We start from the raw sequence: 27,319 nt of genomic DNA on the forward strand, positions 1-27,319 counted from the left end.
TTAAAGCAGTAGTATACTTTGGTTTTCTCCAAACTCTCACAACCTCTTTAAAATCTAATTCTGATCACGACGAAATCCTCAAGAGGTAGAATGCAGGGCTCAGACAAACAAGAAAAAAGAAATGAAAATGTTAGTCCAAGATGTGCATGAAGATTAATCAGGCAGAAAGACAAACTCATTTTGAACATCAAAAGCTCTCCAATAGTACTTCTCTGTGAAATGTGAATAAACCCAGAGATATAGGGATAAAACAAAATTGTACATAACCTGTAAGCCCCACAAAGGTAGACTTCTGTTCACCCAAAAGATATGAGACCTATAAAAAGAATAATAATAAGTTAGTTTTTTAAAATATGAAAAATCTATTCACTTTTAAAATTCAGTTAAAGTTGGAAATATTAAAATATGCTAGCATAAAAAGACAAAATATCAAAATCAACATTTGAAAAAACGTTGTTGCCTTAGTTTTCTTTTTGCTAATATTCATTTCTATTCCGATAAAAACTTTTTGAATTTCACTTTTTGTCATTGTTAATAAATTAAAATATGTGACATTATTTAAAGAATGATATGGCAGGGCAGAATAACCTTAAACCCTTTACTGGATAATTCTACACCGAAAAGTCATTTAATAGTCTTCTACAAACTCTAAGATATTCTTATTTGTAACAGGACATATATATGTCCTGTATAAATACAACAGTATAAATAACCAGAAAAAAATCAGTAACAGAGTATACAACACAGTTATATTTCAGACTTGAAGTTTTATAAAATATTTAACATACCATGGAAAACAGTATGACTGGGGTTAACATATTGGGCAAGACAAGGAGTAATCATCTTTATTCCCTAAAAATGATATATTTTCTGATGATAAAAAGGCTTATGCTCTGGAAAGAACATCATAACACTTATTATCCCTCTAATTCTAATTTTCCACAATTTATAACCTAGCTGTGTCTACATCATTTAGTACACAGTTGATTCCAATGGGAGTTACTTACAGCAATATACCCTATTCAGGAAAAGATAAAAATAATTACATTTTCCTGAAGAGAGGCAGGTGAATGGTAGTTTTTCGCATTTAAGTAAACGGTGCCAAATCTCATTTTATTTGGCTACTCAAAACTTGAGCATCCTTTTAGATACTTTCTTCTCCTGCATCTGTAAATACTAAATTCACTAGCCATCAAACCTTTTCAGTCATTACAACAAAATATCTGCAGAATTCATCTGCTTCTTTTCGTCTCTACTACCACAATCACCTTATTCTAAGCCACCATTTTTCACAATTGGATGCTTGCAAAAACCTACCAGTGGGAACACTGCACCTTCTTTTGCCTTCTACCATTTTTCTCCAAGTCGCAAATACACTGATTCTTTCAAAATGCGTTTTAGATCACATTACCCTATTCCCTATTGTGTATTGCCTTTGCACTTCCGTTAGAATAAAGTTCAAAACAGTTGACATGGCATTCTTAGACTTATTCAAGTGGACTCATTCCTTCCTTCTACAAGCTCTTTTTACATTCTGTCCTCTCATCCTAGAAGTCTCAGCTCAACCCTCTGTGTTTCAGGGAAACCCTCTCTGAGGATTCCACTTGATCAACTTTGTCAACTAATCCCTTGGGCCACGTCACCCATCACACCTTTCCTGCCACTCATCTCAGTGGAAACTTTATATTTATTTGTATATGTGTTTCTTTAATGGCTGTATCCTTGCAATTACAAGTTCCATAAGATAAAATAACTATCTAATTTACTCACCATTATAAACCCAATGCCTTGCTAAGTACCTGCATATATTAAACTAGGTAACCAATGATCAATGATAAATGGTGCCAATTAAGTCAAAGGTATAACTTATGGATTCATTATCACTGTCTTTTCTAAAGTGTTTATATTTTTATATTCTGAGTAACATTTGAGAAATCAGACCACAACAAGGTGTGTCAGAGTGAAGAGGGATAGATGCCCAGTTTTGTAAGTGGAAAACTATGTGCCACAAAAGTTACTATATTGTCAAGTAGGTAGCAATCTCTGGAAAAAATTATAAAATAAGTTGCTGAACAGAAGTGCGTATTTTCAAAGAAAATTGGTAATTAACATAGACTTATTAAAATCTGCTTGACTTTCATAATCGCCATTCTGACTGGCATGAGATGGTATCTCACTGTGATTTTGATTTGCATTTTTCCATTGATCAGTGATGTTGAGCTTTTTTTCAATATGTTCATTGGCTGTGTAAATGTCTTTTTTTTTGAGAATTGTATGTTCATAAACTTTGCCCAGTTTTTGATGGGGTTGTTTTTTTCATGTAAATTTGTTTTAGTTCCTTGTAAATTATGGATATTAGACCTTTGTCAGATGGGTAGATTGAAAAAATTTCCTCCCATTCTGTAGGTTGCCTGATATTCACTCTGATTATAGTTTCTTTTGATGTGCACAAGCTCTTTAGTTTAATAAGATCCTGTTTGTCAATTTTGGCTTTTGTTGCAATTGCTTTTGGCATTTTTGTCATGAAGTCTTTGCCCATGCCTATCTCCTGAATGGTATTGCCTTGGTTTTCTTCTAGGGCTTTTCTGGTTTTGGGTTTTACATTTAAGTCTTTAACCCATCTTGAGTTAATTTTTGTATAAGGTATAAGGAAGGGGTCCAGTTTCAGTTTTCTGCATATGGCTAGCCAGTTTTCCCAGCACCATTTATTGAATAGGAGATCCTTTTTAAAAAGTCAAGAAACAATAGATGCTGGAGAATTAGGAACGCTTTTACACTGTTGGTGAGAATGTAAATTAGTTCAACCATTGTCAAAAACAGTACGGCGATTCCTCAAGGAGCTAGAACCAGAAATACCATTTGACCCAGCAATCCCATTACTGGGTATATAACCAAAGGAGTATAAATCATTCTACTCTAAAGACACAAGCACACTTATATTTATTGCAGCACTATTTAAAATGGCAAAGTCATGGAACCAACCAGAATGCCTATCAATGATAGACTGGATAAAAAAATGTGGTACATACACATCATGGAATATTATGCAGTCATAAAAAGGAATGAGATCAGGTCCTTTTTAGGGACATGGATGAAGGTGGAAGGCATCATCCTCAGCAAACTAACATAGGAACAGAAAACCAAACACCACATATTCTCACTCATCGGTAGACATTGAACAATGAGATCACATGGACACAGGGAGGGGAACAACACATACCAAGGCCTGTTGGGGATTGGGGGGCGAGGGGAAGGAAAATGGACAAAAATAATAATAAAGTTAGTTTAAGACTTTTACACTGCCAGTATAGCAGATTTGGTGAAATTAATACTTTCCTAAAGGGTCCAAAAGAAATAATTTTCTAATGTGTATATCTGAAATTTGTAATACAATCAACTTCGTATTTTTAAAATTCCAAAAGAAATCTGCTTACGTCAAACTAATGGCATTTTCTTTGGTCTGTGATATTGGTAGGCAATTGAAATGTCATAAAGAATTTAAATAAGAGTTTTAAAAAAGACATACTTATTTCCCAGTCTAGACTATGTCTTGTGAAATAGGCTTCAGAATCCATAAAAAAAAAAGTCCTACAAATCTCATATATAAATTTCAAAGAGATCTCCAATGGAAAGACATACTTTTACCAGTTTCCTTAACATTAAGTTGGATAAATACATAGAAGGAAATGTATATATTTTGGTAAAAACTAGTGTTCAAACCCTCCTTCATAAAATGAATTTATCATAAAAAAAAAGAATGTGGGATCTAATCTGCACATTCGTAGATAACCTCCAAAATGAGGAGTGAAACCAAAGCTGACAGCCAAATTATAATTTCAAATGAAAATTTAATCTCATTGATAAAAAAAACACTAGGAGGAAAGAAAACATGCACAATAATATTTATTTCAGTATTATTTACAGCAGGAGAGTAACTGGAATCTACCTGAATACCTAATAAGAAGAGAATTTAAGTAGCAGATGCATCATCATCAAGTAAAACAACAAAAACATTACAAATGAGGAAAAAGTCATTAAAATATTACTTTAGGTCATACCAGTATGTATATGTTATCTATATGTCTGTGTATAGAGAGAATTTGTAAATGGAGTCTTTAAAAATGCTAAAAGTATTTATTCTAGGTGTTGTGATCTCAGATAATTTTTACTTCCTTGCCATATATATCTATATTGTAATATGCATGAAACATTTTTAAATAATAAACAAATTTCCCTTTCCAAAATATAAAAAATTAAATAAAAAAATGCAAAGCAAAACCCAAATATATATCATTTAGTTATTCTGAATTAGACTGTCCTGTTGATAAAATTCATGTATGAAGCATTATTGTGAAAACTAAAGGAACCATACCAAACAATAGAAGGAAAAGCAAAAGTTAAATATAGGAACTTAGTAATGTGGCCTCAGCCACTTTTCCCAGAACACTTATGAACTGTCTTAAAAGTAGGAAAATAGAGGGTAAAAGTGTGAGAACAGCTTTGGCAGAGGAGGTGGGAGTCAGGAGGTGAATACATTTAGCAGAAGAACAAAGCATTTGAAAGTAATAGGGTTAACATGCAGGACATAATTCATATGAAAGGATATGTTGCTCACAAACCCAAGATGAACTCAAAGACTGGTAGCTCTAAAAAAAAACCCTAATATAAGCTTGTAATGTATTAACAAATAATAAATAAAACAGGAGGGTAAATTATACAACCCCCCTGACCATAATATACACTAAAATCTGAATACTAGATATGATACTAAGCCCACATTTCAAGACGAACATAAAATATTTAATACACATCCAAAAACTAGGTGACCAAAATATGAAAGCATATGAGTCTTGCCAATATGTTAGAAAGACTTTTCGGTATTTGAATCCTTTCAAAATATTGGAAACATTTAATCCCAGGTTAGACAACCAACTATCAAGGATGTTACGGAGAAGACTGATAACTAACTCTTTGAAAGAATGGACATTAAGGGCCCTTCCACCAGACAACGTTAGCTGTCACAGAGTTGGCTCTTTAATTAACATTCATTCTCCCCCTTCCACGGCATAGAGTCGAGTGCAAAAAAGTCACTCTTCAGTCAACTACATTTCTCAGTCTTTGTGTCAAGGTATGATGATATAACTGGTTCTCATGTGAGACCTGAGTATGAAGTACAAGCAAAAGTGATGTTTGTCATTTGTTGGCCAATAATTTTTAAAAACATATATGCCTTCTCCAAGCTCTCTTTCTCTTTCTGAAATCAGGATGCAAAGATTCCGGTCTTAGGACAACACATAATCACAAAATGCAGTGGGCTTGTACATATAGTACCTACCATGTTATGGAGTGTGTGTGTGTGTGTGTGTGTGTGTATGTATGTGTCTGTGTCTGTGTGTGTATGTTTGTGTATGTGAATCATTATATGGAGAAAAGGTTCACAATGACCAGAAACACCAGTATTAGACTCCAGTAAACAAAAAAATGCTTTTAAATTTTTGAGATTTGTTAGAGAACTTAGTCCTACTTCAATCTAAAAAATAATCAATATACAAAAAAGAAGAAAAGGTCTGCATTAAAATACTCATTCCTATTGATCATCAAATATTTAAGAGCTATTGTAAAAATTCTGTTTTCTTCCTTTAATAGTTGTTACCCTGAGGAAGAAATCGTATTTAAAATTTGAATTTCACTTAAACACACCATTTGCTATATTAGGCATTGATTTTAAATGGAATCCAAATACCATAAAATAGAAGCATGTTCATGTGCTTCTTACCTGTGTCTCTATCACTTGATGTTAAAAACTAATAATCATTTGAACAATTTTTAAAGTAGATGCAGATGCATGAGTTTGGACACAGTGATGAACTGTAAGCATCAGCAGGCAATGAGTTAATGCTGATGGCTCATCTTTCAGTGTAATTTATAAACTACATGCTTCAGGTGTGCTTCCTTTCCTAACATCTTTAAATCATTTACTACACATTATCTGTACATCACAGTTTACCATTCACACATGGTATATTAACAGTAAAATTCTTTTCATATTATTCAGTTTTCCCATATTATAATGTTTTCGTATCAGTTTTGATTCCTGAAAGGGATTTAAAAATAAAGCAAAGCAGCACAAAATATCTGCAGACTTATCATGTCAGAAGCTCTAATTAAATAAATCTCTTTGCTTAATTAGCCTCATTATTTTAAAATAGAGCCTGCACCCATAAAGGCGACTTCTGTTTTTCATTAACCAATACTGCACTAACCATGGGAGCTAAACAGAACATTGTATTCAAAATGGAACCATAAATATTTTTTAATTACTGTAATCTGATTTTTCAAATGTATATCCTCTACAATTATGGCCAAACATTCTTAGTGATATTACATAGAAGTTAATTGTAGGAAACTTTGTTCCTCTTAATGTTTTCAAATAATATAATTTTACTCTGCTAACACCCACCAAATGCCCTTTTACCCTTAGAAGGATTCCATCATGCTTCATTTTATGATTTTCAGGTCCCACTAGTGTACTTTTTATTTATAAATCACCACATTTTAAAAATAATGCTGATATGATTGTAGAATAATTTGTTACATGAACCATTTTAATAACACTGACATCTCCAGGCAGTAGTCCTCAATCATTTTTATTGTGCAACACACTATCAATAAAATTGCTGAGCATCATTTCATTAATTCAGCAGCATTCACTGACCTACCAAGTCCTATGCTTAGTGTGAGAGCTATGGAGGAAAACACAGCATGGTTCTTGCCCTTGGTGAGCATATAGAAAGGACTGATAAGTGAATGGTAAAATCAAGGGCAATGCTTTGGCTGTTGTGAGAGAAGTATGTGGGAGAGCACCCAGAAGATACTCCTAAGCCAGAGTGGAACTGGGCTACAAGGCACAATACCCATAAGGATTTTAGATTAACTGTTATCCATAAAGTTGTTTTCCTGAAGGTCCTGGAGTCCAGAAGCAAGTCAAAAAAGTGTGGGTTGTGAGGAGCAGGAAACTTAATTTCCCAGAAGAGGGAGAAGAATGTTAAAAGCCCCAGAGGAAGGGAGATCAAAGGTGCATAAGCTACTTCAAGCAGTTCAGCATAGCTGGAGTAGGGGGCTGATGAGGTAGAGTAGGCAAAAGTTAGATTACTAAGGAACTTCTTTTACTCATGTATCCATTCATTCATTTAACAAATAACTATTGTTTGCCACTTTGTGCCAGGCTCTGGGGATTCAGGCAAAGATCCTTGCTGTCATGGAATATCCTCTCTAGTATTCATGGAATACCACAGAAAACAAAATAAATGACTAAAATTAGGTAGAATATGTAAAAGAGAAACAGTCTCTAGAGAAAAAAAAAGAAAAAGAAGAAAACTATTAAGGGAGTCTTATGAGGAGATTACAATGTTAAATAGGAAGCTTCATATTATCTTTTGGGAGTATCTGAAAATCAAGAACAAAATTGCATTCGGGTCTTTAAAGAGACTTACCCATTTTAAAACAAAAACTACTTAATGCACTTTGGCTAGCAATAAAATTTTATGCCTAACAGTCCAATATTAGCATCAGACAAACAGAAAAATAATAAAAGATACTTACAAAGAACCTACAAGAATTATGTAGTGCCTGTAAATCGATCAATTTTATTTGTGACAAACACCTAAAATACCCTTAAAAATTAAGCTCTACACAACATGCTTTAAATTTAAAATGTGATACAACTCAAAATAATCAAAATAATATTGTTGAAGGTCAGAAAAAGGTACCTTACCATTCATTTCCTTGTGAAGGGTTTTCTAGTAGTACTCGGATTATGTATAATAAGCAGCTTAGTAATTTGAGAGAAAAATTGAACAGGCGTATCCTTAGACCTTTAAACAAATGATAAAAGTTTGATTTTCATCTGAACTTAGTTCACAAAAGACTAAAAAGAATTGTCAAAAATATCAAATTTAAATACAGCACTTAAATTGTATTTAGAAGCTGCACTACTATAATTGTCTAAACTCTCTGAAGTTCTTGGTGGCTGAATTTTAATTACCTGAATATTGAAACAAAAAGTGAGTTTGACAGAATACTTGAACTGCAAATGAGAGTGCATATTTTATAAAAAGACTAAATCTAGATTTGAACATTCAGAAGCCACAAAATTTGTGTCCAATCGAGGTTGATTAAAGTATGTTTATATGTTTAAGCATTTTATACATCCATAAATTTTGGGATAAACTTTGGCTAGAAAATCTAGCTGCTTACAAATTCACAAGCCAAGTTATAAAACTTATACCTTCACAGAATCTTGTAGATTTGATTATAAAGAAATTAATTATATTTGTATAGTTCTATGTTGTATATTTAATATTAACTATATAATTATAATACATTCCAATTATATAATTATATATATTATTTATTCATTATATAATAATATATATTATATAAGTATAGAGAAATCTTAATAGCATACACTGAGAAACACACACACGATCAATCTCTCCATTTCTCTCACATACACACACATACGTTTAAAGTTCAATAAATTAAATTCTATTTTTAACTATTTAAAATACCCATGGAATCTTAAACTTTTGTGGGAATTAAAACTGCCATGTATGTATCTTCTAAACTGTGTGGGTCACAATTATGCAGCCTGTAATATTCAATGATGATGAAGAGTATTTAAGATTAAGCACAATATGCATAAAGTCTGATTAATATGAGCATTATCTTTCCTGTAATTACTTTACGATATCTGATTCATGCATTATGAATAAAATTTTGATAAAGGCCTTCCTATAATTATTACTTAATAAAATCTAGAAATGAAATGTCACTTTTTTTGTCCTACTCTGCTGTTGTGAGTGTACTTGTGGTAACAGTTCTTACCAGTAAAAAGGTCGATGCTTATCATTTGTGAAATTTTTCCAAGGTTTTCCAATTAAAATGCTGAATACATTTTATGGGTTCACTTCCTTAAAAAATCTTTCAAATTATTAAAGAAATTATGCTGGTTTTATAGAAATGGGCCTCCTCAAATAACTGCTTAGTTGCAGCTGACTATGGGTGAAGTATTCAAACAATGCATCCACCTTTTTTGGCCTGGAAAGATAGGACTGTTAGTACTGAAATAAGGGAAACTATTCAGATGATGTGACCCCTTTAGGTAATATCTATTTATGGGGCTTCCTTGGATATTCTGAACAACCATGTTAGAAAAACATTAGTTGCTAACAGTCTTAACCTTGAGGCCAGCCTGTCATTAAGACTATCTGAGCAGTATGACTTAAATATTGAAATATTCCATATCATCAGTATTTGGACAACTTCCCACAAGTCAAGCTTCTCTCTTTGAATCCTACCTACAGAGGCACAACTTAATTTTGACAAGAGGATTTGGAGGTTAAAATTCACAGAGCTTAATGTCTACACCAACTAATGCAGGCCTCTCCATTCCCTGTGACATTGTAAGCAATGACCATAAAAAAAATTGCATATTGGTTTATTACATATGGCTTTTTAAACATATATGGCATTGTGGGAAGCAACAAGCATCAGCGGCACTCCTAACCTTGAATAGGCTCAGGAGGACAGTTACTATGCCAATTTTGTATTCTTGAAGTTCTACTTTGTTACTTTCTTACATTTGTCTGATGATAGGAATCACTGGGATGTTAAACTCTGAGATCTACCCTACACTTCCTGGCTCAAAATCTCTAGGCTAAGAAAGATAGGAATCTGTATATTTCAGTGCAACCTAGATGTTTCTTATTATTTGGAATGATTAGGAAATATTAAACGTTCCCTTCCCTAAATCAGACAATTGTTTCCCATTGTGGTCTGTCAGAGCTTTTTGAAAATACGATATTTAGAGTTAAAATGGAAGGACCCTCATTTAAATTATTTTCCTCAATGTTTATACTAATCCAGATAGTCCACTCAGAAGTCTACTTATTAACATGGAATTTGGAGAATTGAAGATGTTCAAGAAGCATTAATATCACTATATGTAGTGCCTATACTTTTCTAAAATGTTACCACCTGCTGGAAAAAATAACCAATTTTATTCCTCTACCACCTGCTGGAAAAAATAACCAATTTTATTCCTCTATCTAAAAAGTATTTTGCAAAAGATCACACAGTTGAAATATTTTGAAGTAAATATATGTACGAACAGAGGGGAATGAAATGAATAACTTACTTGATCTCTGGTTTTTTATGAAAAATAATTTTAGTCTTTCTTTAAATGTATTTTCATTCATATAGAATTCAACTTGTACCCTGCAAACAGAAAATAAAAACATGTAAATGTATGCAAGCAACCATATCTTTATTTTCATGAAGATCAACAAATATAAATTGATCTGTAGTTCTCTAACTTAAAGAATAATACATTTTTGAAATAAATTATTTGATTTAATGCATTATGTATTTTAGTAAATTCCCTGCCATGGAAAATGAGAACTGAGTAAAGTACTGATTTAGAGAGAAGCAATTATTTTCTACTTTTAAAGATAGAATCATTTTAAATATTATACATAGTCAATTCAATTATTTGTATTAATGAATATAATGAGTGGCATGGATTATTCAAAACAGCAATAATGCAAAAGTCTTTAATATGTGTGTTTGAAATGGGTTTGAATCAGTGCTTTCCCCATTTTTTTCCCTGCTGTAAGAATTAACTGACGTTTGAAAAATTCAGTCTGGGCACCACCGTGCCAGATCTACTTATTCAGAATTTTAAAGGGCAGGGCCTAATAATCAATTCTTCACTACACCTATAGCCTATTTAGGACACCACACTCTGTAACACTTTACCTTCCTACTTATGGATCAACCAAGAAGTAGCAGTGGCAAATAGAACTGTTAAGGTTACCACAGATAGATTATAAAGCAAACAACTCAATTAATAGACTACATATTGTATATTTGATCCACTATACAATAATATCAACAGTCTAAAATAATAGCAGTACTTTAATAAATACTCTAAATTCTAGCAAACAGTCTCCCTTTGATAAGGCACAATTAATATTTTCAAAATACTAAGTGAAAAGAGAAATCTTGTTCAGTGCAAGGTAACTTGTAAATAATACTCAATTTCCTTAATCAGTCTCAAATATATTCATTATGAGTTAGAATTTCAAAAACAGCTAAGAATGGATTTTAATGTTTACGCAAAAACAAATATTTAATTTCATTTTTCCTAATATGGTAACATTTTGAAAATGTAATTCATGTAAGCCAGATAAGGTTTGGGGGTCTTTTTTTTGGGGGGGAGATTTTTGGTTTTGTTTTTTTTGCAAGAGTAGATACCTTAGAGAAAACTAGGAGAAAAAAAAAACAACTGACATTACAAAGCTGCTCATGCATTTGAGAAATAGTTCACTACTATATTATCTCATAAACCCTCTACTACCCTGTTTATTCAAGGAAAACCATGAATAGTTTTAAAGCAGTTTATTGTGTCACAAAAGCAACAGGGCATTTTTTTTAATTTTATTATACTTTAAGTTCTGAGATACATGTGCAGAACGTGCAGGTTTGTTACATGGGTATACACATGCCATGTGTATGGTTTGCTGCATCCATCAATCTGTCATCTACATTAGGTATTTCTCCTAATGCTATCCCTTCCCCAGGCCCCATTGTGTGATGTTACCCTCAACAGGGCATTTTTAAAATTAATTACGAATCAAGCTGTATGTGTTGTATCTTCTAAAATACTTGAATGTTCTTTTATATCTTCTCTCTAAAGAATATATTTCTATTTTTATTTCCTCGTTATCATATTCTGACTTACTTTGTTTTTTCTTCACCTTATATATTAAATGAAATTGTTTTAAAGTAAGCAAGATTCTCTTTAGTTAATACCTTCTCCAGACTAGAAGTTGGAAAAGTTCTCTAGAAGTTCTAAAGAAGCCACTAAAATGGCAATGATATCTTTTAGCAGAACATTTCCATCTGTATGCCCATGCACATGTGCACACCCTACACATCTACGTACATATACATACTACAAAAGTCCATGCACACACATACAGAAACAAAACTTCATCGGTGTCTTGGAAATGCATTATTGGACGTGTTTCCCTTGTTTATCAAATGAAAAGTCAGTTCATTTTAAATATAGTAACTGTAAATAGTGAGATAAAGCTAAACTAGTTGAAATTTGTTATGGCTACATAAACAAATTTGAGAGGACAATACGGCTATTACACAAATAATTCAGCAAAGGCCATGCAGATTTGCTTCCTAGAATTACCAAATTTATAAGAATGAGTCCATTTTTCAGATAATATTGGAGTTCAGTACTGGGTATGTAACAGAGGAGCCTTTTTTTGTTGTTTTTTGGTGACGGAGTCTGGCTCTGTCGCCCAGGCTGGAGTGCAGTGGCGCGATCTCAGCTCACTGCAAGCTCCACCTCCCGGGTTCACGCCATTCTTCTCCTCAGCCTCTCCAGTAGCCGGGACTACAGGCGCCAGCCACCATGCCGTGTTAGTCAGGATGGTCTCAATTTCCTGACCTCGTGATCCGCCCACCTCAGCCTCCCAAAGTGCCGGGATTACAGGCGCAGAGGAGCATTTTTTAACTGAAATGAGATCATCTAAAGCCTTAACAAAAATAATGAGGAATCTGGAAAACATACCACATATGGAAAAGGTAGGCGAAACTAGAAAGAATTCGTAATTATGAAGAGTTAGGAGTCACCGTTGTCTTTAAATATTTCAGTTACCAACATTATTAAAATGGAATGACACATAATGTGATTCTCTATTAAATAGAATATTAGATAAATGCACGAATTACGAATGAGAATTATCCAACTTTGAAATGGCCATCAATGTGGAGAGCTCTCCAATACCTATAAATGTGCCAAAGGCTGGACAACAGCATGCGAGCCACTGGCTTTTTTTTTTTTCCTGAGAGCAAAGGCAATTTTGCATGGTGTGAAGTCTCTCATTAAATAATTTCCTAATCCCAATCTAATTATCAAATTATGTGAAGTAAAACTCTTAATGAATCTGGCGATCTCTCTGAGTCAATATAATCATTGAGAAACATGGATTATATTAAAACATGAAATTATACAACTTTTATTTAAAGCCAAAATGCAAGCAAAATGTTTTTTGATACATGACTTATACTGGGCACAGAAAATGTCCTTTAGGCTTACTGGTTACAGTATAAAGTAGAGCTTTTTTTTTTTTAATTTGATTTAATGATAACTCTTTCTAGCAGCAAGGCATGTTAGTGACAGCGTGTACTTTTGAGACCTTCCTCAGCACCAGTTTTTTAGCACCCAGGTATTTAGTTCAGAGTTTAGTGGTTACCCTTCCCAAAGTTTTTCATGATTTAACTTATTTTAAATATAATCTCACCGCTTCCTTTTTCAAGTTTAAACTGGTTTCATCTCCTCCCTCCATTCCTTCCTCCCTCCTTTCCTTCCTTTAATCTTGCCTCCCTCTCTTCCTTCTTTTCTTCTGACCTCCCTACCTCCATCTAACTTTATCTGAATTTACTTACATCTAGTAGACTATGTTAGTGTAATCTTTCGTGTACTCTTACACTAAGTTAGTGTACTCTTTCTGGACCTTCCCCAGAACCACAGAGTTTTGATTTATGGCAAATCTGCTCTCATCACTTTTTAAGATGTCATTTTTGTCAAAGGCTTATACAAAAGTTAAAATTTAAAGTAATTTTGTTACATTTATTCAAATACCATAATAGCAATTTTATTTGATTTAAAAAGATACTGGAATTCCAATCATTATTAGGTGGTACCTTCTATTGAAATATGTTCTTGCTATTTAATAGTTATTTTTATGTTGATCAACAACATTTTATTTGGGTAAATGTTATATATTCTTTGTGACACTTATTTCTGGCTATTTTATAATTTTGGTTGCCTTTTAAATTGTTTTATTCCAATCTTTAACTTTTTGGTTTTGATATTGGAAATAGCTGCCATGTTGACCTCTCTTACATGTGATTTTTTTTTCACATTTATTACTTGGGTTTGCTAGACAGACAGTTATGGACATGTTCTTTAATATTTCTACAGTAAGACCTCACTTAATGTCATCCATAGCTTCTTTGCGACTTTAAGAGAAATGATAGATAGGCCAGGCACGGTGGCTCACACCTGTAATCCCAGCAATTTGGGAGGCCGAGGCGGGTGGATCACGAGGTCAGGAGATCGAGACCATCCTGGCTAACATGGTGAAACCCCAGCTCTACTAAAATACAAAAAATTAGCCGGGCATGGTGGTGGGCACCTGCAGTCCCAGCTACTCTGGAGGCTGCGGAAGGAGAATGGCGTGAACCTGAGAGGCAGAGGTTGCAGTGAGCCGAGATCGTGCCACTGCACTCCAGCCTGGGCGACAGAGCAAGACTCTGTCTCAAAAAAAAAAAAAAAAGAAATGATAGATAACAAATCCAATTTCACCATAGGCTAATTGATGTAAACAAGAGTTAGGTTTCTACTGGCCACAAAAATGTCACCAAACTTCTAAATAAAAACCAAAATACTTTTGATATTAAATGTCGAAATAAATATGAGCTATACATACATTCAAGAAAGATTAGTGAAAACAAGCAAGGTTATTTACCCACTTGTTCCAGTTCAGGGTGGTAGGTGGCCAGAGCCCATCCTAGCAGCTCAAGGGGCCAGGCAGGATCCCACCTGGACGGGACGCCATCACATTGCAAGACACACTCAAACATCAATACTCATGCTACGATCATTTAGACACACGAATTCACCTAACTTGCACGTTTGGCATATGGGAGGAAACTGCAGTAACTGAAGAAAACCCACGCAGACATGGACAGAATGTGCAAACTGCACACAGACAGTCACCCCAATCAGCAATAGATTTTTTTTCTCAACAATATTATAACAAAACAATGTTGAATGAAATGGCATTATTTAAGGAACTACTGCATTTACATTTCATTGTTTATGCCTTACTACATTGACTAGCACTTTTGGGGGGAAAAAAGTCAAATAATTGTGTTGTCCCTTTCTTATAAGAGGATGCCTCTAGTGTTTTAGCAGCAATTAATTACACTTGGCCCTTTGTATCCATTAAGTTCCACATCTATGTATTCAACTAGTTGCAGATAGGAAATATTTGGGAAGAACAAAAAACAACATCTGTACTAAACATGTACAGACTTGTTTTTCTTGTCATTATTCCCTAGACAATACAATATAACAGCTATTTACATAACTTTCATGTTTTATTAGGTATTTAGTAGTACTTAGGTACTACTAAGTGCTATTTCCCTCCTAATTTTCCTAATGATACAGATCTGTTTTTCTTGTCATTATTCTTTAGGCAATACAGTATACCAACTATTTACATAACTTTTATATTTTATTAGGTATTATAAGTAATCTAGAGATAATGTAAAGTATAATGGAGGCTGTACATAGATTATTATGCAAATCTTATGCCATTTTATATGAGGCACTTGAGCATTGTGGATTTTGGTATCCACAGAAGTCCTGGAACCAATCCCCATGATTACTGAGGAACAATTGTATTTTGTTGATATTGGGATTGCTTAAATATTTACACTTTACTAAAAATTATATCAGTAATGGATGGGTATTGATTGTTATTAAAAAAAACCTATATCGAACCTATCAAGTTAATAGTATATTGTTCCTTTTCATGTACTGATTTGGTGAATTACTTCAACAGTTTTCCTATGATGCAATTGTTTTTGTCTATCCTGGAATAAGTTGTCTTTGTGACGGTAAACTATTCAGGTAATTTACTGTTGGATTCATTTTCCTATACTTTTTCAGGAGTTTTTCTTCTACAGTAATAATGATGTGATGTCTTTTTTAGATTATTCTAGTATCTTCGAATATGAATTGAACAACTCCAGATTTTTCTATGGTCTGAAACAATTTAGATACTGCAGAGATGTTTTTTGCAACTGTCATCAATTTTTCCTAATGATATCAACTACCTTAATGTTGATTTTAATTTGATACTTTTTTTTCATTTTCCTTTTATTCTTTTGTTCTGGTACTTGAGTTCAATGTAAAATTTACCCGGAATCTTGTTAAAATGCAATTTTCCTGATTCACTCTTAAAATTCTTATTCAATAAATTTAAATCAGGCCTCGTCATTTTAATAACAGGAAAAATAATTCTGATCCAGGCTGTCAATGCACCATTCTTTCAGAAACACTAGTTTGCTTTTTTCTAGTGCCAGTGCCTTGATACCTATTTAGGATATCAAACTTTTGTGGATAGTCTCTTTTAAATCTTACAGTAGACATAGATCACTATCAGAGGAAGGTTCTTCCTCTGTGTCTACTTCTTACTACCAAGTGCTTTTTCCCTCCCTCTTTCTTCTAATTCTGCAATATTGGTCATGGAGTCCATATATAAGATTTTTATTACTGTACTCATCTCAAACAAGGGATTATCTGCCTGGACCTTCTGGTCTCAGCAGGCAGATTCAATGGATGCACAGAAGTCTTGTCCTCTATTTATTTGATGTTCATTGTCCTTTGGAAAATGTACATCTGAATGGTGAGTTAATATACATAGCTCCCAGTACAACTTGCATTTCTAAGAACTTTTCAGCTGGAGTTATTTCTGTGCTTCTAGATTGTGGCATCCTGCTAATTCCGTGTTTGGTGATCTGACTTTGATCAGTAAGGAGAAAGCATACTGCCAAGGTTATCTCACTCTGTTTTCACTACTAACAAAAATAAAAATTATACCTTTCCAAATGTATCACATTATTCTCAGTTTACTCCTATTTTTTCTAAGGTCATTGTGATGGAATGAATTATGTCCCCCTAAAAGAAAAAGTCCTAGCTCTCATGACCTCAGAATTCAAACTTATTTGGGAATGAGGTCATTGCAGATATAATTAGTTAAATTAATATGAGGGTATACTATAATAGGGTGAGCCCTTAATCAAATATGACAGATGTCTTTATAAGAAAAGAAAAATTTGCACACAGACACATATGCAGAAGGAAGATGGTCATATGAAGACAAAGGCAGAGATTGAGTTATACTTTCAAAACTCAAGGAACACCTGGGACTACTAGAACCTGGAAAAGACAAGGAAAGATCCTCTCCTAGAGCATTAGTAAAGCGCAAGGCCCTGCCTACACCCTATGTTCAAATTTCTGGCCTCCATTACTGTCAGTCAATAAACTTCTATTGTTTTCAAGCACCAAGTTTGTGGTGCTTCATTGTGGCAGTCCTAAATACAGTCTTTTTCTATAATGGTGACAACACCAGTTCTCAGTCATACCACGTTCATTCATTAGAATGTAAACTCCATAAGGGCAAGGGCCATATTGAGTTTTGTCCATGCTTATATCATGAGCATCCCACATATTAGTTAGGACCTACTGGACATTAAAGATTAAGAGATAAATTCCTGAATGAAGGCATAATGTGGTAGCCAATTTTTTCTTTGGTACAAACCATGAGGACTCTGAACTAATAGTATGGTAGGAGAGATAAAATCATCTTACTTTTCTTCCTTATGTTATAACATCTGAGGATGCAAAACTCGGGTTTATGGTGAGGTGAATCCTTGGAAATTCTTTCTTATTCCAACTTAATCTACCTTATGATTAATGTCATTTCCCCACAGATTTTGTAAATAGGTTATGAATTTAGATTTTATTTATTTGTACCTTTAGCTGTCTATGATTTTAATAAATGTTTATAAAGTATACTATTATTAATTTATTTGATTTTTACTTGAGTAACATAGATATCAACTTTATAGAAAAAGAAACTTTGGGCCAGAAGTGGTGGCTCATGTCTGTAATCCCAGCACTTTGGAAGGCCGAGGCAGGTGGATCACCTGAGGTCAGGAGTTCTAGACCAGCCTGGCTAAAATGGTGAAACCCCATCTCTACTAAAAATACAAAAATTAGCTGGGTGTGCTGGTGCATGCCTGTAATCCCAGCTACTTGGGAGACAGAGGCAGAAGAATCACTTGAACTTGGGAGGTGGAGATTGCAGTGAGCTGAGATTGCACAACTGCACTCCAGCCTGGGTGATAGAGTGAGACTCCATCAAAAAAAAGGGAGGAAAGAAGGAATAAAGGAAGAAAGGAAGGAAGGGAGGGAGGGAAGGAGGGGGAGAGAGAGAGAGAGAGACGGAGAGAGAGAGAGAGAGAAAGAAAGAAAAAGGAAGGAAGGAAGGAAGGAAGGAAGGGAGGGAGGGAGGGAGGGAGGGAGGGAGGGAGGGAGGGAGGGAAAGAAAGAAAAAGAAACGTTCATTCAAATAATTTTAGTGACTGGCCCAAATTCATACAGCTAGGATGGGGACAGAGTTGGAACATTGGTCTTTCTATTCTTTTTCTTGCTTCTTGCCTTCTTAGCAAGTTGAGAATTTATTGGTAGTAGGAGAATTCTAGAACATTTGTAAAATATTATAAAAGAACATTGTAAATAACAGATCCACCCACAAATAGTGGGCTATCCCCATAAATAGTGGGACATGTTTGTTAAGGTCTGCCCTGTGATTATTGACTCTAAACCAGATTCCTATCCATTTCCAAATATTCATACTTAGTTTCTGATAACCAACAAATGAAGGCTTGTCAAACACAACAAAAACACACATAGACAAATAGGAATTAATTAAACGAAAACTCTTCTGTACACCAAAGGAAACAAACAGAGTAAATAGACAATATACAGAATGCCAGAAAATATTTGCAAACTATGCATCCAACAAAGGGCTAATATCCAGAATCTACAATGAACTCAAACAACTCAACAAGAAAAAAATATAAACTCCTTAAAAAGTGTGCAAAGGATATGAACAGACATTTTTCAAAAGAAGGCATACAAATGTATGCAGCCACAAACATATGCCACCATGCTCAACAATGCTAATCATCAGAGAAATGCAAATTAAAATCACAATGAGATACCACCTTATACCAGTAAGAATGGCTACTATAAAAAGTCAAAAAACAACAGATGTTGGAAAGTTTGCAGAGAAAACGGTGCACTTATACACCACTGGGAGGAATGTAAGTTAGTACAATCTCTATGGTAAACAGTATGGAGATTTTGCAAAGAACTGAAAATCAAACTACCATTCAATTCAGCAATCCAACTTCTGGGTATGTACCCAAAGGGAAAGAAGTCATTTATTATATCAAAAAGATACAAGTACTTGTATTTTTATTGCAGCACTACTACCAATAGCAAAGATATGGAATGAACTTAAGTGTATACTTAATGGATGACTGGATAAAGAAAATGTGGGGTAGATATAGATACACACACAAACACACATACACACACAATGGAATACTGTTTGGGTATAAAAAAAGAAAAATAATGAAATAATATCTTTTTCAGCAACATGAATGGAACTGTAGGCCATTATTCTAAGCAAAATAACCTAGAAACAGAAAGTCATATATTGCATATCCTCACTTATAAGTGGGAGCTAAACAATGGGTACACATGGACATACAGAATGAAAAACAAGAAATCGAAGACTTCAAAAGGTGGGCAGGTGGGATGGAGGTAAGGATTGAAACATTATCTAATGGGTACAATGTTCACTATTCAGATGATGGGCACACAAAAAGCTCAGATTTCACTACAACACAATATACCCATTCAAGAAAACTACACTTGTTCCTCTTAAATCTATAAAAATAAAAGTAAATTAAAAATAAAAAAGAAGGCTTGTAAAAAATAAACAAGTAAGCCTCCTATCCATTTTTCATTTTAAAAAGGTAGTTTTGGGCCGGGAGCGATGGCTCATGCTTGTAATCCCAGCACTTTGGGAGGCCAAGGCAGGCACATTGCCTGAGCTCAGGAGTTTGAGACCAGCCTGGGCAACACGGTGAAACCTCATCTCTACTAAAATACAAAAAACTAGCGGGGCATGGCGGCGGGTGCCTGTAGTCCCAGACTCAGGAAGCAGAGGCAGGAGAATTGCTTGAACCCTGGAGTCAGAGGTTGCAGTGAGTTGAGATCGTGCCACTGCACTACAGCCCAGGTGACAGAGCAAGACTCCATCTCAAAAATAAATTAAAAAAAAGATAGTTCAGGCTCAAGTGCTTCCAATGAGTTTCCACCTGGTTTCCAACCTCTACTCTATGTACACAGAGAAACGCAATTTAAATGTTGTGCAATTTTTCCTAAGATATTTCCTAACTTCTTTTTGCCATCTAAGTCTTTTCATAATTACTCAAGCCTAACATACTCAACACCTTTAGTCAGTAACATTGCATAATGAAGGAAAGATTAATTTTGATGACATTTAGTAGCATTGTCTGCATTTTTAAAATACAATTCAAAATAATGTCAGTTTTGGAAAGGGAACTGAGCTACTCACACACATAGAGACACGTATATGCACATATATGCATGTGTTTATATATGTTACATATACATATACAATGTCATGTGGTGTAATGGTAATGAGGAAATAAAATGGGATAAATAACAACTATCAATTTCTTTTGTTAGAAATATTATGAATAGCCCCTCAATAACTGCATTGACTCTCCTTATCAGCCCTTAGTAATCACAACCTGCAGGTAACTGGAAATAGTCTTGTGGTTTCCATGGTAAAACACATTATGAAATCAGCCAAGAGTACTTTTCTATTAAAGTACTCTTTAACGCAAAAAAGTATTTCTTTTCAGTTAGAAAACTCACATCCTTATGTTCAATGTTCATTTGCTGGGCCAACTCTCTGTACTTCCCCATTTTATTTAAAATAATTAAATCCAAGCAACCCCAATTTGATTTAAATGTAAGCATGAGAACCAAAATAAAAAGAAATATAGAATAATTATAAAGGTATATTTTGTCATTCGTAAATTGCAAAGAGATTCCCCCTCTTCATGCCCCCTGCCCAACTGTATGAGGTGGGCAGGCCTGAGCCAAGCCATTAAAAAGAGAAAAGAAAAGAAAGAAAAAACATGCAAAGAATAAAGCGTTTATTCATTTTTATACTATTAAATGTGTAATAAAGAGCAGAAAAATATACAGAATTTAGGCCTGTAATAAATTATCTTTGGTAAGGATTATGTATCCTTACCACTACCACCTCAGAAAAGAAAAGAAAAAAAAAAGAGCAGATGCTCCTAAATTATTTCCACGTTTTTCTTCTTACCCCACCTCCACTCCTTCCCATTATTTATAAACACACAAAAGGCCTCAAAGGTAATATAATTACGTACCTAAGTACATATACATATGTAAACAAACATACACATGTGTATGATTACATACATTATAGATATATAAAGCTGTTCATCACAAAACTATTTATAAGCTTATAATATGACTACAGGCACCTGCAACCCCACCATAAACCTAATAGCTTGCCAATCAAAACTCTTCATAACTACAACACATAAACCCTCTTCTCCTTTTCTCTATACATAAGAGTATAGAAAATACCATGTAATCTCTAACTCAAATGGGAATATTTCACTAGTCATTGTAAAATCTCGAAGGAAAATATAAAGATGCTCTGACAGTCTAGGATTACCAGGAATGGCACAGTTAAATATTATAACAAAGTCCAATATGGGGAGAAATATATGTGTTTGTGGAGAGGGAACCAATAGGTCTCAAAGAGTTGGGCTATGTTCAACAGATGAGAGTTATTTGTATGAAACTGGAAGTTACATGAACACACTAACATGCAGTGAAGGAAGCACTTTCTTTTTTTTAACTTAACACTTCCCACCAAAAACATACGATTTTAAATCAACCCTCCAAATCGTCTCTTCCATTTTGCACTTAACTGGAAGAAGTCACAATTCAGTAATGGGCACAGCTCACTGGAACACATGTATGTCTTTAAGATTTCTCTTAGTATGTAATGCACTTGCTTAAGTTACGACTTTTAATAGGCAAATTGTATAGCGTGGAATACATTTAAAGTCAAGGTGACACAATTTGAAGGAAGAAGGGAAAATGGTCACTAATATAATTTCACTTAATACAAACTTACGACAATACAAATGGGTTTTTTTAATTATTATTATACTTTAAGTTTTAGGGTACATGTGCACAATGTGCAGGTTAGTTACATATGTATACATGTGACATGCTGGTGTGCTGCACCCATTAACGCGTCATCTAGCATTAGGTATATCTCCTAATGCTATCCCTCCCCCCTCCCCCCATCCCACAACAGTCCCCAGAGTGTGATGTTCCCCTTCCTGTGTCCATGTGTTCTCATTGTTCAATTCCCACCTATGAGTGAGAACATGCGGTGTTTGGTTTTTTGTCCTTGTGATAGTTTACTGAGAATCATGATTTCCAATTTCATCCATGTCCCTACAAAGGACATGAACTCTTCCTTTTTTATGGCTGCATAGTATTCCATGGTGTATATGTGCCACATTTTCTTAATCCAGTCTATCATTGTTGGACATTTGGCTTGGTTCCAAGTCTTTGCTATTGTGAATAGTGCTGCAATAAACATACATGTGCATGTCTCTTTATAGCAGCATGATTTATAGTCCTTTGGGTATATACCCAGTAATGAGATGGCTGGGTCAAATGGTATTTCTAGTTCTAGATCCCTGAGGAATCGCCACACTGACTTCCACAATGGTTGAACTAGTTTATAGTCCCACCAACAGTGTAAAAGTGTTCCTACTTCTCCACATCCTCTCCAGCACCTGTTGTTTCTTGACTTTTTAACGATTGCCATTCTAACTGGTGTGAGATGGTATCTCATTGTGGTTTTGATTTGCATTTCTCTGATGGCCAGTGATGGTGAGCATTTTTTTATGTGTTTTTTGGCTGCATAAATGTCTTCTTTTGAGAAGCATCTGTTCATGTCCTTTGCCCACTTTTTGATGGGGTTGTTTGTTTTTTTCTTGTAAATTGTTTGAGTTCATTGTAGATTCTGGATATTAGCCTTTTGTCAGATAAGTAGGTTGTGAAAATTTTCTCCCATTTTGTAGGTTGCCTGTTCACTCTGATGGTAGTTTCTTTTGCTGTGCAGAAGCTCTTTAGGTTAATTAGATCCCATTTGTCAATTTTGGCTTTTGTTGCCATTGCTTTTGGTGTTGTAGACATGAAGTCCTTGCTCCTGCCTATGTCCTGAATGGTAATGCCTAGGTTTTCTTCTAGGGTTTTTATGGTTTTAGGTCTAACGTTTAAGTCTTTAATCCAGCTTGAATTAATTTTTGTATAAGGTGTAAGGAAGGGATCCAGTTTCAGCTTTCTACATATGGCTAACCAGTTTTCCCGGCACCATTTATTAAATAGGGAATCCTTTCCCCATTGCTTGTTTTCTCAGGTTTGTCAAAGATCAGATAGTTGTAGATATGAGGCATTATTTCTGAGGGCTCTGTTCTGTTCCATTGATCTATATCTCTGTTTTGGTACCAGTACCATGCTGTTTTGGTTACTGTAGCCTTGTAGTATAGTTTGAAGTCAGGTAGTGTGATGCCTCCAGCTTTGTTCTTTTGGCTTAGGATTGACTTGGTGATGCGGGCTCTTTTTTGGTACCATATGAATTTTAAGGTAGTTTCTTCCAATTCTGTGAAGAAAGTCATTGGTAGCTTGATGGGGATGGCATTGAATCTATAAATTACCTTGGGCAGTATGGACATTTTCACGATATTGATTCTTCCTACCCATGAGCATGGAATGTTCTTCCATTTCTTTGTATCCTCTTTTATTTCATTGAGCAGTGGTTTGTAGTTCTCCTTGAAGAGGTCCTTCACGTCCCTTGTAAGTTGGATTCCTAGGTATTTTATTCTCTTTGAAGCAATTGTGAATGGGAGTTCACTCATGATTGGTTCTCTGTTTGTCTGTTATTGGTGTATAAGAATGCTTGTGATTTTTGTACGTTGATTTTGTATCCTGAGACTTTGCTGAAGTTGCTTATCAGCTTAAGGAGATTTTGGGCTGAGACAATGGGGTTTTCTAGATATACAATCATGTCATCTGCAAACAGGGACAATTTGACTTCCTCTTTTCCTAATTGCAAATGGGTTTTCTAGGGAAATATGTTGCGGAAAATATGTTTCCACACATTCGTATGTGAATTTGTTTATTCTGTAGTATAGTGTAAGAGCTAAAGAAGATGAGCATGAGCTTCGTATATGCATTTGATTACCAGGTCTGATAACTATTCTCTGTAAAATGCAGGTATTACTTCCATTTCACAGGATTGCTATAGAAATTTTAAAAACATAGCATATATGTAAAATATGCAACAAAGCAATGACAACTCATAACTTTTATAGTGTGTTGATAATACAAAACGTTCCTAAAATAAACGTATAATTGGAAAAACAAAAACTGTGGTTCATCTATTTCAATTTGATATGGTTGTTTCCTACAATAATCATTTACTTGGGAAAAATAAGCATATAATACAATAAAGAACTTCCTTATTTACTTCAGAAAATGCCTACAGATCAATTTATTGGAGACAATAATTAATCTGCTCACCTGGGCAAACAGATCACTTATCAAACAGTAGCTTACTCATTAAGACTTGCTTCAAAGCCCTCACTTTGTCAAGAACTTTTACCATTCTAAATCAGTTTTCCACCTTTAAAGATCTGCCTAATACCACAAGAGCCTTGATCCTAGAGCCTAATAAATAACTCAATTACAACATCACTCTCCTGAAATACTGTTAAAGCTTACTCACTAAGTGAAGACAGTTTGAGCAAACATAATTTAATTCATTAACAGGCTTTCTAGTGATATTTCAATTATTTGTTGTTTATGGTATAAAGGGAGCTTTCCCACACCTGCTGTTCCATAATGTAATTATTTTTAGTCAAAGTAGATGAGGCCTATGTCATCATTTTTAATGACTGCATATCATTTCTCTATAATAATATTCACCATTTAATCACAAATCCCCTACTAATGGATCCTTAAGTTTTATTTGGTCTCATAAATAATGATTAAAACATCTATATTTTACAAAAAAGAGATGAGTAAATAATAAATTTATTTTCTATAATTTTATTAGAAAATGTGAAATCTAAATGTTATTTTTAAATATATGCATATGTCAAAGAATACATCAGTAATATAAAAAACTGGTGATTATATTCTCCCAATTTTAAATAAGCCTCTTTGATGAAACCATCTCAATACAATTTCCCTAAGCTATCTAAGAAATTGATAATGATATAGTTAAAATTTGAAAATGTTACACTTGAGAAAAATTCACCATCAGTTCTATCAGAAAAATTATCCAGAACTTGAAAGTAGATGAAGGCAATTACGAGGTGCTCTTTCAATGCAGTGCTGGACGTGGCTTTCTATTTTCTGTGGTATTTTACAAATGTGAAGGAAAAGACATTAATGTATAGAGTTTTGTCTAATAGGCATCCAAAGGATTTCTGCCTAATTTAAAAAGATAATTTCAAAGGTTGTGGTTTATGGGCCAGTAGAACTAGGGGTTGGTGTGGGGTGGCGACTGTATTTGTGGAAGTGCAGGTGGAGGGGTAACTCAGCAATTTTATTCTATCATTGCCTAGAATTACTTAGCTTAACAAAAGCTCCTGGACCAGTTTTAATGCATTACTGTTTCCCTCATTAATTAATGAGGTGTATAAAATTTCTGACATGTTCTCATGTTATATTTATATAAAGGATATGTTTTTAACCTTTTGAAAATTATGCTATAACAGCCCTTCCTCAAATTAGTAAGAATTTCTTACTAACGGTCAATATAATTTAAGTTGATGTAACTGCTTTGGAAAACAAATGTTATTTATAATATGATAAAATAATCTATAGATTCCATAAGCTTCCAGTCAAAACTACATAGACTATTTTGAGGAATTTGATAATCTGATTCTATAATGAGTAAAAGATCAAACTATACAGGATGTTTGAGAAGAAGAATAAAGAGTAGAGGTTTTCTCTACTTGATATTAAGACTTATTAGGATGGTGCAGTAATTAAGGCATTATGGAAGCTGTACAGAGAAGGATAAATTGATTCGTGAAATTTAAAAAGATTCAATAAATTGACTCATGCATATAATAAGTATTAATACATAACAGAGGTGGTATGGCTGAACAGTAGTAAAAAAGAAGCAGCATTAAATAAATGAATCTTTTTAAATGGTTCCCTAAGTAGCAAAAAAAAAAAAAAAAAAAAAAAAGTAAAGAAAGAAACAGAAAAGAAATTGGATCTCTATCTCACAGTATATAGATTAAATCACCTCCTGAAATATTAAAAAATTTTAACCTTTTATGAAAAAATAATGGTTAATATTTTTGACCTTTGAACAGTGAAAGTATACTTTAGAAACAAAACAAAAACAAAAACATAAAGTATGTATAAAATTTCTGCCCTAGGAAGATAAGAGTATAAACCAAGAAATAACTTCACTAATGGGCTCAGAAAATTCTATAAGCTCAAATTTATAAAAGGCATTAATTATTTGAAGTCTTAAAGAAAGTGAAATAAGTTCATAATTGGGAGAAGATATTTGAATAAAATATCTGGTAAAGATTTAAAATTAAGAATACAAAAAGAAGTATTAACAAATTATTAAGAACAAACATGTAACCAAAAGGTGCCAACTAGCATTTCACAGAAGAGAAACAATATTGGCTAATAAACTTAGTGAGAAATGTTAAACCTCATTAGCACTCAGGAAATATACATAAGACTACAGTGAAGTAACATTTTATATCCATTTAATTGGAAAAATCAAAAGGTTTAATAAAGCCAAATGTTGCAGATATGTGAATCAAAGATTTCCTTATTATCAGTGGAGTCAGCTGCTGCAATCATTTTTGTAAACAATTTGGCATTGTCTAGTCAAATTAGATATTTATGTATTTACAACCCAGCAACTCCATGCCTAGATAAATGCATTAGAGAAACTTAAACATTTGCACTGGGATGCATGTACAAGAAGGTTCAAAGGACCGGGCACAGTTGCTAATGCCTGTAATCCCAACATTTTAAGAGGTTGAGGCGGGCAGATCACCTGAGGTCAGCAGTTCGAGAGCAGCCTGCCCAATATGGTGAAACCCCGTCTCTACTAAAAATACAAAAATTAACTGGGCTTGGTGGCGTGTGCCTGTAATCCTAGCTACTCGGGAGGCTGAGGCAGGAGAATCGCTTGAACCCAAGAAGCGGAAGTTGCAGTGAGCCGAGATAGTGCCACTGCCCTCCAGCCGGGGCAAAAAAAAAGCGAAACTCCGAAAAAAAAAAAAAAAAGGTTCAAGGAAGCACTGTTCATGAGAGCAAATTTAAATATGAAACAGACGAAGCTTAAATATCCACTGACAGGGATAACTTGTGGCATATTAATACAAT

General features: G+C 34.1%; 1 protein-coding gene across 13 annotated transcripts in view; it reads right to left on the bottom strand.

Annotated features, from left to right (window-relative positions):
- The window catches only part of KCNT2 (potassium sodium-activated channel subfamily T member 2), a 382,662-nt gene that overhangs the window by 256,285 nt on the left and 99,058 nt on the right, over positions 1-27,319 (bottom strand). For all 13 annotated transcript variants that reach the window (NR_146057.2, NR_146058.2, XR_001737149.3 and 10 more), the window contains exons 2-4: positions 10,199-10,278; positions 7,775-7,874; positions 268-316 (exon numbers count right to left, since the gene is read on the bottom strand). Coding sequence is in view for 9 of the 13 variants with exons in the window: in NM_001287820.3 (NP_001274749.1) it covers positions 268-316; positions 7,775-7,874; positions 10,199-10,278 (229 nt within the window). In the remaining 4 variants the exon portion in view is untranslated. The remainder of the gene's footprint in view (positions 1-267; positions 317-7,774; positions 7,875-10,198; positions 10,279-27,319) is intronic.

Source organism: Homo sapiens, chromosome 1 (assembly GCF_000001405.40).
Source record: "Homo sapiens chromosome 1, GRCh38.p14 Primary Assembly".
NCBI lineage: Eukaryota > Metazoa > Chordata > Mammalia > Primates > Hominidae > Homo > Homo sapiens.